The following is a 14,036-nucleotide window of genomic DNA, read 5'->3' on the forward strand; positions in this document are numbered from 1 at the left end:
ATGACCTCTGGAAGTCTGCCCTAATCTCAGGGGGCCTTGTCCAGTGCCCAGCAGACTGGGAAGGAGAAGAAAACACTGTCTCTCCAACATAGTGGGTCTCAATCATTTGGTCTATTAAAAAATACACTATTACAAAATTTTGAGATTTCACCACCCACCCCTGAAAAAGAGCTTTATTTACTTATCTTTTTCTTGAGCCAGAGTCTTACTCTGTTTCCCAGGCTGGAGTGCAGTGATGTGATCTCGGCTCAGGGCCACCTCTGCCTCCTAGGCTCAAGTGATTCTCATGCCTCAGCCTCCTGAGTAGCTGGGATTATAGGCATGTGCCACCACACCCAGCTAATTTTTGTATTTTTTAGCAGAGACGGGATTTCTCTACGTTGGCCAAGCTGGTCTTGAACTCCTGGCCTCAAGTGATCCGCCCACCTCGGCCTCCCAAAGTTCTGGGATTACAGGCATAAGCTACCACACCCTGCCTGCTTTTGTTTTTAAAAGTTAAATGTATTATTTCCCTTATTAGAAATCAAAATAGATAATTTTTAAAAAGATGTATTAATTCATTAAAAAATAATAAACCCATTATAGGTTAACACTTGAAGAATAGGTACACTTTCCAAATTAAAAAAAAAAACAACAAAACCAAAAGAAGAGTGGAATGATTCCGCATCTTCACAAATCTGTAGAGTGCGTGACTTACAGAAGACAACTCTACACATCTACTTCTGTATCTCCATCTGTTATTGTATACTGTTTTAGTTGAAGTACATTGAAAAAACTTGGCCTCACACAGATATATAGTTGGAAAAGGAGCACTGTTTTAATAGCCTTTTCAGATAACTGGGGATATTTTTACTTGATACTATAGCAACACTTGACAGCTGGTAATTTCTTAAAGGTTAGCTGCAATGTGGAATCTGAAACCATATCAACGAGCTTTTCATCCTCAGTTACATTAAAATCCATTAATCTTGAGCTGACATCCATGACAATGGCAGAGTAAGGAACTCTAGAACCCATCCCTTCACAAAAGCAGTCAAAAAATGGGCAAAAATTGTCAGAATCGACTTTATCAGAACTCTGGAAATGAATTAAAAGATTATGGCAAACAGGTGAACCCTTAATTAAAAAAAAAAAAGATGAAACTTGGCATTTAAGGAAATTTTCGTCAGATCACTAGCTGACCACTAAGGTAACTGAATAGAGATTTTGGCCGGGCACGGTGGCTCACGCCTATAATCCCAGCACTTCGGGAGGCTGAGGCATGTGGATTGCTTGAGGCCAGGAGTTCAAGACCAGCCTGGCTAACATGGTGAAACCCTGTCTCTACTAAAAATACCAAAAAAAATTAGGTGGGTGTGGTGGCACATGCCTGTAATCCCAGCTTCTGGGGAGGCTGAGGCAGAAGGATCGCTTGAATCCGGGAAGCAGAGATTGCAGTGAGCCAAGATCACACCATTGCACTCCAGCCTGGCCAACAGAGTGAGACTGTCTCAAAAAAAAAAAAAAATGCAGATTTTACAAAATTAGTTCAGAAAGGTCATGAAACAAACGATCAACAACACCTATAAGCAGCAACAGCAAACCCTGGGGAGAACAGAAGAATCCAATATTCAGCGTCACCATGTTAAACTATTCAAAATATCCAGTTTTCCACAAAAATTATGAGGCACGCAAAAAAAAAAAAAGAAAGTATGGCCCATATGTAGAAATAAATAAATAGGACTATCTCTGAGAAAATCGAGCCACTGGACTTATGAAACAAAGAGTTTAAATCAACTATATAAAATATACTTAAAGAGCTAAAGGAAATCATGTACAAAGCACTATAAAAAACCATGACAGGCTGGGTGTGGTGGCTCACACCTGTAATCCCAGCACTTTGGGAGGGTGAGTTGGGTGGATCACTTAAAGTCAGGAGTTCAGGGACCAGCCTGGCCAACATGGTGAAACCCTGTCTCTACTAAAAATACAAAAATTAGCTAGGCGTGGTGGTGGGCGTCTGTAATTCCAGCTACTTGAAAGGCTGAGGCCTGAGAACTGTTGAGCCTGGGAGGCGGGGTTTGTAGTGAACTGAGATCACGCCACTGCACTCCAACCTGGGTGACAGAGTGAGATTCCATATCAAAACAAAAACAAAACAAAACAACAAAAAAACACATGAGAGTGATGTTTCACCAGTAGAATATCAATAAGGAGACAGAAATTGTAAAAAGGAACCAAATAAAATTTCTGGAGTTGAAAGTATAATAGCTGGAATGAAAACTTCACTAGGGGAGGTTCAACAGCAGATTTGAGCAGGCAGAAGAAAGAATCAGGGAACTTGAAGATGGGTCAATTGAGATTACCCAGTCTGAGGAGCGGAAAGAAAAAAGAATGAAGAAAAATGAGCTGAGCCTAAGAAACTTGTGGGACACCACCAAGCTTACCAACAAACACACAATAGGAGTCCCAGAAAGAGAGGAGAGGGAGAAAGTGGTAAAGTCTATTTGAATAAGTAATGGCTGAAAACTTCCCAAATTTGATGAAAGGCATGAATCTATACACTCTAAACTAAATCTATACACTCAACAAACTTTAAGTGGCATAAACTCAAAGAAATCCACACCAAAGACACATTATAATCAAACTGTTGAAAGGCAAAGACAAAGAGAGAATCCTAGAAGCAGTAGGAGAGAAGTGGCGTCACAAACAAAGAATCCAGAATATGAGTAATGGCTGATTTCTCAACAGAAACCATGGAGGCCAGAGGGCAGTGAAACGACTTAATCAAAGTGCCAGAAAGCGGAAAAACCCACATGTCAATGAGCAGATGAATGGATAAACAAAATGTGGTCCATCCATACAATGGAATAATTTAGCCACACACAAAAAAATAAGGTTCTGACACAGGCTACAACATGGATGAGCCTCATGCAAAAGACTATATATTATATAATTCCTTTTACATAAAATATGTAGAATTGGCAAATCCCTAGAGACAGAAAGCAGATTAGTGGCTGTCAGGAGATGGAAGAAGGGACAATGGAGAGTGGCTGCTAGTGGGGATGGGGTTTCCTTTCAGGGTGATGACGATATTCTGGAACTAGATAATGGTGATTGTACCACACTGTGAATGTATTAAATGCCACTGAACTGTCCACTGCAAAATGGTGAATTTTATGTTACATACATTCTATCTCAATAAAAAATATACATATAACTAATTTCAAAAAGTAATTTTAGTCTCCCTTGCAACTTGAATGAGTATTTTACTAATGGGTATGGTTTTGTAACATCATATACTGGTCACTTGAAAAACATGAGTTTACTGAGTTTGCAGATCTTCCAGACATTGCCACATTTCATTACATAGTGTCAAGAAATCACATTCATTAATATCACCACCAACCTCATCAGAAAAGTCACTAACTTTGAGAAGTTGTCAGGTTCCTGGTTGGCAGACACAACTCCAAAATTTTCATTTCTTTGTTTAAAAACTTGAATTTTATCATTGGCCACAAAAACCTGCCAGCTGTTTTTCTTAATATGTCAGGCTTTGTTCATTTTTGGAAACATGTCTGCCAAATACCTGAGTCCGAATAATCATAGTTTGTCATTCTTTCAAGCAGAAATGGAGTTTTAGGAAAACCATGGCTAGTTCTGCCCACACGTCAATCAAGCACACACAGGCTTTTCTTGGAGGTGGTCATTGTACTCTGGTGGACTTCCCATCTCATCACACACAATAGTAAAGAGATGTGTGCTCAAGAGTTGAAATTTAATAAAATTAATAATTTTTACTGCTTCATCAAGGACATTCTTAAATGAAACTAGTATTTCCTTTCTTTCTTCTCCTTCCCTTTTTTTTTTTTTTTTTTTTTTTTGAGATCGAGTCTCACTCTGTTGCCCAGGCTGGAGTGCAGTGTTGCGATCTTGGCTCACTGCAACCTTCACCACCCAGGTTCAAGCAATTCTCCTGCCTCAGCCTCCCGAGCAGCTGGGATTACAGGTGCCCGCCACCATGCTCAGCTCATTTTTGTATTTTTAGTCGAGGTGGGGTTTCACCATGTTGGCCAGGCTGGTCTTGAACTCCTGACCTCAAGTGATCCACCCGCCTTGGCCTCCCAAAGCGCTGGGGTTGCAGGTGTGAGCCACTGCACCCAGCCTCTTTCTCTCCTCTCTTAAAAACATCTTTTAGAATGTGAGCATGTGGTGATGAAAAATACAGTGACTTCTAGGACAGTTTGATGCCTCTGCATTCTTTTTTAAAAAAGAGGTGGGGTCTCTCTCTGCTGCCCAGGCTGGAGTGCAGTGGCATGATCATAGCTCATTCTGGAGCTAGAAGTGGCCATGGTGTAGGGAGGGAGAGGAGGTCATTCCCCAAAAACCCAAATATGGAGACACGAGACAGAGAGGGCCACTCCCAAACCTGCTGTAGTTAATTCACCCTCTGTTCTAAAACAGAACTTAGACATGTTACCATAGAAGGAGCCAATTCAAGTTAAAATGCTAACAACCCTTTGGGGTCTTTATAGAGAATGCAGATTGTTTTTATTTTATTATTATTATTATTTTTTGAGATGGAGTCTTGCTTTGTCGCCATACTGCAGTGCAGTGGCGCGATCTCGGCTCACTGCAACCTCTGCCTCCCAGGTTCAAGCGATTCCCCTGCCTCAGCCTCCTGGGTAGCTGAGACTACAGGTGCGTGCCACCCCGTCCAGCTAATTTTTTTGTTGTTGTTGTATTTTAGTAGAGACAGGGTTTCACCATGTTGGCCAGGATGGTCTCGATCTCCTGACCTTGTGATCCACCTGCCTTTGCCTCCCAAAGTGCTGGGATTACAGGCGTGAGCTACTGCGCCTGGCCCAAGAATGCAGATTGTTTTTAAAAGGGAAAAGCAGAATGACTGGAATTTTGAAGGCAGAGTGGTAAATCATAGAATTAGGCCTGGAGAAGGGAAAAGCCCAACGCTGTGGTCCAGGCAGAGGAGGCCAGCAGGGCTGAGAGGCTGGGGGAGGGAGATGGGGCATTTTAATCCCTTTGTCTGTTCCTCCCAACTCCCACTTGGCAGGGGGAGCCCCCACCAATATCTCTGTGCACGTCCTTTGTGGGGCATGAGATCACATTCACACTTGCTTTAATTATTTTCCCTCAGTCTCTATTTAGTTCTGCAACTTGTGTTTGTTACTTAATATTTTGTGGCTATCTTTCTGAACCAATTCTGTTGTTTGTTTCTTTGTTTTGAGACAGGGTCTCCTTCTGTCACCCAGGCTGGAGTGCAGTGGCACGATCACAGCTCACTACAGCCTTGACCTCCTGGGCTCAGGCCATCCTCCCACCTCAGTCTCCCAAGTAGCTGAACATACAGGCATGTGCCACCACAACCAGGGAATTTTTGTATTTTTTGTAGAGATGGGGTTTCGCAATGTTGCCCAGGCTTGTCTTGAACTCCTGGGCTGAAGCAGTCCCACTTGCTTCCACCTCCCAAAGTGCTGGGATGACCAGTGTGAGCCACCGCGCCCAGCAGGACCGATTCTTAGAGCCACTGGGATGACAGGCATCAGCCACCACACTCAGCAGGACCGATTCTTACAGAGCCACTGCGCACTCTTAACTTCAACACTCTTAACTAATCCACGGACGTTATAGAATATGATCCATTTTCTCACTAATGTCCTTCCTCTGGACCAGGACCCAATCTGGGATCACATACTGTGATCATTTTGCATACGGTGCCATGAAAGAAAACAGGAAAATAAGAAATGGGTCAACACTCAAGAGATCCATCAGTAGCTAATCGATTATTAGATCAATGATCAATTTGTCCCTGGTTGTCTTAACAGCTTGTCAAGTGAGGTTATGTCACTTCAGACAAAGAAGGATGACTTGTCTGGTAAATCAATTGAAATGCTTCAGAATAAGTGAAAAATAGTGCTTTTTGTATGACAGTCTTTAATCTTGTCACTACAGGCAAATCTGAGACTAAATCTTCAAACATATCTTTCAAAGGGTTACTTGTAAGTGTGAACCTGGGTACTTTTCCCACCTTTGCAAAAAAAAAAAAAAAAAAAAACCCTATAAAACCAGCTTTGAAAGTGAAGATAGGATCACACACTTGCCAGAACCCATGGAACGCATACCACCAAGAGTGAACCCTAATGTGAACGGGACTGTAGTCAACAATAATGTATCAATATTGGATCATCAGCTGCAACAAATGTAACAAACAAACAACTTCAAACTGCACCACAAAGGGAACTCTATGAAGTTTTAAAAAAAAGTGGTGATAAATATCATAGTGAGAGAAAAAGCAGATGTGCCATTGGTGACATTCCTTTATCAAACAGTATCTTGAGTGTGGGAATGTCAAAGGCAGGCAGTGGGAAGAGCGATTATCATCATGTGTGTTGGCTGGCAAATAATTCGCTCTGATCATTGGACAAAAGCTCTGCTATGCAGGGGCTGAGCAGGCTTCTGGCAGATGGTAGGAGTACCCAAGTGATTTATTTTTATTTATTTATTTAGAGACAGAGTCTTGCTCTGTCACCCAGGCTGGAGTGCAGTGGCACCATCACGGCTCACTGCAGCCTCAACCTCCCCCAGCTCAGGTGATCCTCCCACCTCAGCCTCCTTAGTAGCTGGGACTACAGACACACACTGCTAATTTTTTTTTTTTTTTTTTTTGAGACGGAGTCTCATTCTGTTACCAGGCTGGAGTGCAGTGGCACAATCTTGGCTCACTGCAACCTCCGCCTCCCGGGTTCAAGTGATTCTGCTGCCTCAGCCTCCCGATGAGCTGGGACTACAGGTGCGCACCACCACACCTAGCTAATTTTTGCATTTTTAGTAGAGACGGGGTTTCACCATGTTGGCCAGGATTGTCTCCATCTCTTGACCTTGTGATCCACCCGCCTCAGCCTCCCAAAGTGCTGGGATTACAGGCATGAGCCACCATACCAGCCCAATTTTTAAGTTTTTTGTAGAGATGGGGTCTCACTATGTTGCCTAAGCTGGTCTTGAACTCCCGGGCTCAGGTGATCCTCCCACCTTAGCTTCCCAAAGTGCTAGTATTACAGGCATGAGCCACTGTGCCCAGGTGACTTTTCATTCTACATCTTCACTGAAGAGCCAGGCTACAGAAGAAGAGATGTGTGTGACTCCTGATTCTGTCATGAGCTGTGCCACTGCGTGGAGGTGCCATGGGCCTCTGCGAGCCACCTCCATGGACCACCAGGAAGGGGTGCTCTCTGAACCTTTTCTAGTTCTGAGGGCTGCCTGACTGGAGAGTTGTTCTTTGCTCAGATAGACTCTTGTTTAATTTACCGAAAATTTCTCTTTTAATGGTATTATGTATCGGGTATCATAAGACACCCTTCTTGGGCAAAAAGAAAGCTGTCAAAGGCAGAATATTTAGCTTGTTAAACTAATAAAGTACAGTAGGACATTTTAACTTCAGCTGCAATTAAAATCCATTAGACTTTTTTGATCTTCTGCTGTATTAGTCAGATTTAAACTAATAAAATGAGAAAAGATGCATTAAAGTATGAGAAAAATTTTAAAAAAGATAAAAAAGATAAAGACTTTTTGTCTTCGTCAGGGCCCACCGTGTGACCCTCAGAGGCTGTGTGTTTTCACAGCATGGCCTCATGTGGCCTCTGGGTCTTGCAGGAGGAAGGGCCCACTGAGGGCTGCTCCCAGGGTGGAGGGGTCTCTTTCTTGTTCCCCCTTGAGTGACCTTCAGCCTCCCCTGGACACAACCCAAACAGTAAAAAAGGAGGTTCCACTTGGGCAGAAAGGACAAGAATAAAACTCCCACTTTAGTTTCCCTGCTCCACGCAGTGAAAAAAAGCACAATAGAAAACGTGTGTATCAAAAACTCACCATTTGGGCAACTAATTTTTAAGATTTATAATATGGATGACATTTTAACCAGAAATAAATACTCGAGAAAATTGGTCACCAAGAGTCTGGAATCACTCGTCGAGGCTACCAGTGAGGACTTGCTTCAGTGTTTGTGCTCTGTCTTTAGGACTAAGCGAAAGTCCCGAGAAACAAAACTCTGACATGAACGAACTGGTAGACATCCAATGTTGGGTCCAGCAGCTGTATTTCTGTTGCAATTTCAGGGCCATGGTTGTTCTTGGCTCTTGGAAAGTCTCGAATTTCTGTGGCATCCTTGTTGGATGTTCTTATGCCAACAACAAGCCAATAAACAACAGCAGAGCAGTCAGAAGCCAGGAATCAGATTCGTATCCAAGATGATGACTCCCCCAGAGCTTGGTGGGGGGTGTGTGTGTGTGTGTGTGTGTGTGTGTGTGTGTGTGTGAAAACATAGCCTATTCACGGATTTCTAATTGATTTAATAATTTAGTTCTTCCAGAGCAACCCACATAACAAACCACAGCTCCAGGGTGGTGGCCCAGGGTCTGAGCAGTATGTTTGCTGCAATGAGGTAATTCTGAATCCACAGAGAACATGATTGTTTCTCAGTAAATTTGTGACTTGCAATCCTAGTCTATTTTACTGTTATAAGTTGATGCCGTTTGCTAAGTCAAATGTGCCACATTCGTGACAATTACTGTAGTCTGCGAGGAAAGCTTTCTGTTCCATAACAACTAAACCTAGTTCCACCCAGCCAATCCCAGGCGGGAGAAGTATGTCTGGTCTGCTGGGGCTGCCTGGCCTGGGGTGCTAATGGCACCGAGGCACTAAGTGGCTAGGGGTAGAAGCAGCAGACACTACCCTACAATTTCACAGCCTCTAGAAAGCAAGTGACTCCTCCCGAGAAGAGAGGGAGGAGGCATGGGGCACTACGCCTGTCCTCAAAGCCAGGGCCTGGGGGTCACTCTGGACAAAGGAAGAGAGAGGACAGCAAGATTCATGGGGCCTCTCTGATGCCAGGGTGACCCCAGAACACACCAGAACCAAAAACAAACAAACAAAAACACAGAGACAAGGCTAAACCACCACCTTCTATCTCAGGAGATGAGCCTTACACCAAAATAAGAAGTTATTGTGTAATTGAAAGTCAATCAATGCAATTCATTATATTAACACCCCAATGAAGACAAAAATATGCTGATGCTTACATATGTAAAAAAACGTTTGACAGAATTCAACATCTATTTATCATAGAGACTTCCAGAAAACTAGAAAAAGAAGGGAACTTCCTCAACCTGAAAAAGGGCATCTGTGAAAAACCCACAGCTAACATCACATACTTAGCAGTGACAGACTGACGGCTTTTCCCTTAAGACTGGGAAAAAGGCAAGGATGTCCATTCTTGCCACCCCTGTTCAACATTTCACTGCAAGTGCTAGCCAGTGCAAAAAGGCAAGAAAAAGAAATGAAATTTCTTTTTGTCCATATTGGAAAGAAAGAAATAAAGCAGTTATATTTGCAGGCAACAAGAAGCTCCTAGAACCAAAAAATGAGTTCAGGCTGGGAAGGGTGGCTCACACCTGTAATCCCAGCACTTTGGGAGGCCGAGGCAGGCAGATCACGAGGTCAGGAGATGGAGACCATCCTGGTTAACATGGTGAAACTCCGTCTCTACTAAAAATACAAAAAATTAGCCGGGAGTGGTGGCAGACACCTGTAGTCCCAGCTACTCGGGAGGCTGAGGCAGGAGAATGATGTGAACCTGGGAGGCGGAGCTTGCAGTGAGCCCAGATTGCGCCACTGCACTCCAGCCTGGGCGACAGAGAGAGACTCTGTCTCAAAAAGAAAAAAAAAAAAAAAAGTGAGTTCAGCAAGATTACAGGATACAAGATAAAGAGCCAAAAATCAACCATTTTTTAAATCCTAGAAATGAACAGTTGGAAACAGAAATTTAAAGATCAATGCCAAGAAAACCCACAATGCCATTTACAATAGCTCTCCAAACATGAAATACTTTGATATAAATCTAACAAAACATGTACAGAATTTTGTATAAGTTACAAAATGCTGATGAAAGAAGATCTAAACAAATGGAGAAAACGTACCATGTTCATGGATTGGAAGCCTTAACATAGTAAAGATGGGAATTCTCCCCAAGTTGGTTCAGTGCAAATTAGTCAAAATCTCAGTAGCATTTCTTTGTAGATATAGATAAATTGATCTAAACTTATACAGAAACTTTGAGTTTATATAAATAGTCAACGCAATACTGAAGAATAAAGTGGGAGGAACCATCCTCTTCAATTTTAGACTTACTATAAAGCTATAGTAATTAAGACTATGCTACTTGTAAAGGGATAGGCAGACAGACCAATGGGATGGAATAGGACACTCTGAAATAAACCCACACACATATGGCCAACTGATTTTTGACAAAGGTGTTAAAGCAATCCAATGGAGAAAGGGTAGTCTTTTTAACAAATGAGGCTAGAACAACACATTGTTTCATAAGCAAAAAAAAATGAACCTCAACTTAAACCTTACATTATACAAATGTTAACTTGATAGGAAGCAGATCTAAATGTAAAATGTAAAACTATGGTCAGGCGCGGTGGCTCACGCCTGTAATCCCAGCACTTTGGGAGGCCGAGGTGAGCAGATCACTTGAGGTCAGGCATTCGAGACCAGCCTGGCCAACATGGTAAAACCCTGTCTGTACTGAAAACACAAAAACTAGCCGGGTGTGGTGGTACACACCTGTAATTCCAGCTACTCGGGAGGCTGAGGCAGGAGAATCGCTTGAACCCGGGAGGTGGAGGTTGCAGTGAGCCAAGATGGTGCCACTGCACTCCAGCCTGAGTCACAGAGCAAGACTCCGTCTCAGAAAAAAAAAAAAAAAAAAAAAAAACCCAAAACAAAAGTAAAACTATAAAACTTTTCAAAGAAAACAGGAGAAAATCTTCATAATGTGCAAATAGGCAAAGAGTTCTTAGACATGACATTGAAAGCATGAGCCACAGAAGAAAAATTGATAAGTTGGATTTCATCAAAATTAAAATTTTTTTTTTCTCTGCAAAGGACACTTTTTAGAGAATGAAAAGACACACTAAAGACTGGGGAAAATATTTGCAAGTCACATATCTGACAGGAGACTTGTATCCAGAATACATAAAGAATTCTCAAAACTCAACCATAAGAAAACAACCAACCTAGTTAAAAAAGAAGCAAATGACTTGAAGTGACACCTGACCAGAGCATCTACACTCACATGAAAAGCTGCTACCATCATTAGCTATAAAGAAAATGCAAGTTGCAACCACAATGAGGTACCACCACACATCTATTAGAATGGCCAAAACCAAGAGCACCAGCAGCATCAAATGCTGCTGACGGAGAGGAGCAAGAGGAACTCTTGTATGTTGCTGGTGGGAATGCAAAATGGTGCAACCACTTGGGAAACTGGTGGTTTCTGATAAAGTTAAACATACACTTTCTGTATGAGCCAGCAGCAATTCCACTTGTAGGTATATATCCAAAAGAAAGAAAACATATGTCCTTACAAAAGCCTGCATGTGAAACTTAGAGCTTCTTTATTCATAATCACCCCAAACTGGAAACCATCCAAATGGCCCTCAACTAGTGAATGAATAAACAAACTGTAGTGTAATAGAATATTACTCAGTAACAAAAAAAAGCAACTCGGATTCATGCAGCAACTTGACTGAATCTCAAAGGCACCAGAATGAGTAAAAGAAGCCTGTCTGAAAAGGTCACAATCTGTACGATTCCATTTATACACCACGCTAGTAAAGATGAAACTACAGCAATAGGGAACAGATCAGCAGTTGCCAAGGGCTGGGGATGGGGGAGGTTGTGACTGCCAAGAAATACCACGAGGGGGTTTTCAGGGCAATGCACTGTTCTGTGACCTGATTATACACAAATCTACCCATGTCAAAACTCACAAGGCTGTACACCAAAAAGTTGATTTTACTTTGTGTTAATTTAAGAAGGAAAATAAATGAAAAGTAAACACGGGTAATCGAGTTTTAAATGTAGAGACTCTGGAAAAGCAGATAAGTCGTTATTTTGCATCGGGGCATGGCAGCGAGAACTCGGCAGAGGCTGCAGGGAAACTTCCCCTGCTTGATTCAGTCCAGGTGTCTCATGGATGGATTGATCCACGCCTCTAAAAGCTTGATAGTAACAACGATAACAATAATAAGAGCAAAGGAGGCTGCAGCATCCACCAGTGGAGAGATGCTTGACTCATTCCCTTTTCACAACAGCCCATGACGCATGGCTTGTCCTCCTCTTTATACCAATGGCCAACTGAAGTTCAAAGAACTCTGCAGGCCTGCCTATGGTTGCGTGGCCCGTCTGAGGCTGGCCCGACTCCATCGTGGGGCCGCCTGGGCCCAGAGCAGACGACAGCCCCTCCGGGCCTCCGGCTGCCTCTTACTCACCATCCCTGCTGCCGCTGCTTCGAGAATACTCATGGCCTACCCTGCTGGTCCCAAGAGCCTCCTACATACCGTGGCGGGCGATGAGCGGGAGGTGTGGGCCAGGGAGTGTCTGGTGCTGTCCATCCCCCCGTGGATGAGATAGGCTCCCGCGCTGGAGACGATGGGGCTCCCCCCGACATCCATGGTGATGCCCACCATGCTGTGGGAGGGGACCGCTGGCGGGGACGAGGCTGCCACGGTCACCTGGGCACCGCCTGGGGCCTCGAAGTAAGAAGCCGTGCTGCTGGGGGCGTACATCTGAGGCTCGGGGTTGTAGGTGTAGGCTGTTCGTCTGTTAGAAAGAGAGAAGTCACGCATGGGACGCTGTCCCATTTAAATGCCTTGTCTGAGTTCACAGATATCCAGCCAAACATCACGTAAAAGCTGCAACCCAGAGAGGCCAGACATATGGAGCAATTCGGACGTGGCATATGACACTCAAATGCAGCGCAAGTTCACAGCCACCATGTTGCAAAATCTTTAGGACCACAGGCTGACTTATCAAAAAGTGACCACTTAAAAATTCTAGGCCAGGCGTGGTGGCTCACGCCTGTAATCCCAGCACTTTGGGAGGCTAAGGTGGGAAAATTGCTTGAGGTCAGAAGTTTGAGACCAGCCTGGGCAACATAGAGAGAACCATCTCTACAAAAAATAAAAGATTTAGCCAGGTGTGGTGGTGCGTGCCGGTAGTCCCAGCTACTCAGGAGGCTGAGGTGGGAGGACTGCTTGAGCCCAGGACTTTGAGGTTACAGTGAGCTGTGACTGCACCATTGCACTTTAGCCTGGGCAACAGAGCAAGACCCTATCTCTTAAAAAAAATAAATACAAATAAAACTTAAAATTGTAAGTGGATAAATGGGTCACATGAGGGAGCTCCTGTGTGGAGATGGAGCAGTTCTGTATCTTGATGGTGGTATTGTTACACAAATCTACACATGGGCTAAAAATGCAAAGAAATAGACACGCACGCACATGCAAGGGTACACACATGAACATGCAAAGCCACATGTACTCCACATGCAAGCACACACGCAAAAGCACGTGCATACAGACTGGTAGAACTGAATAAGGCCTGTGGGCTAGTTAACAGTTTTACCCCAATGTCAATTTCCAGGGGTTTTTTTGTTTTGTTTTTTTGAGACAGGGTCTCCTTCTGTAGCCCAGACTTGAGTGCAGTGGCAAAATCATAGCTCACTGCAGCCTCAGCCTCCTGAGCTCAAGTGATCCTCCTGCTTCAGCCTCTGAATATGGGTGTGCACCGCCACAGTAGCTGGGGTGATGGGTGTGCACCGCCACAGTGGCTGGGGTTAGAATCATACAACTCCACCAATCACAACCCTGAAGTCACAGCCAGGTTCTCATGTACAGCCCCTGCACTTGTGAGGGGAGCCATCCAGGCCAAATGGAAACAGACAAGCAGGCGAAAGGACTCACGTCTAAAGTAAAGTGAGCTGCACGGGAGATGCATACTTTCCTACCCCAAGCATCACACAGTTACAGAGCAGAAAACTCTAGACATCCTTGCAACATGGAAAATCAAGTTCTATCAACATTATACAAAGCTGGAGTTTAACAGAGGCGAGGGGAAAACACACAGGGGTGGATGGTTTCTGGATCTCAAAGACTGAGACTTCAGAATGAAGAGTTAGGATTAGCCTTTTTTTTTTTTTT

General features: G+C 43.6%; 1 protein-coding gene across 7 annotated transcripts in view; it reads right to left on the reverse strand.

Annotated features, from left to right (window-relative positions):
• Positions 1-14,036, reverse strand: part of RFX2 (regulatory factor X2) — a 117,337-nt gene that overhangs the window by 34,421 nt on the left and 68,880 nt on the right. For all 7 annotated transcript variants that reach the window (XM_047439198.1, XM_017027107.2, NM_134433.3 and 4 more), the window contains one exon: positions 12,396-12,657. In XM_047439198.1, coding sequence (XP_047295154.1) covers positions 12,396-12,657 — 262 coding nt within the window. The remainder of the gene's footprint in view (positions 1-12,395; positions 12,658-14,036) is intronic.

The sequence above is a fragment of the Homo sapiens genome, chromosome 19 (assembly GCF_000001405.40).
Source record: "Homo sapiens chromosome 19, GRCh38.p14 Primary Assembly".
NCBI classification, from domain to species: Eukaryota; Metazoa; Chordata; class Mammalia; order Primates; family Hominidae; genus Homo; species Homo sapiens.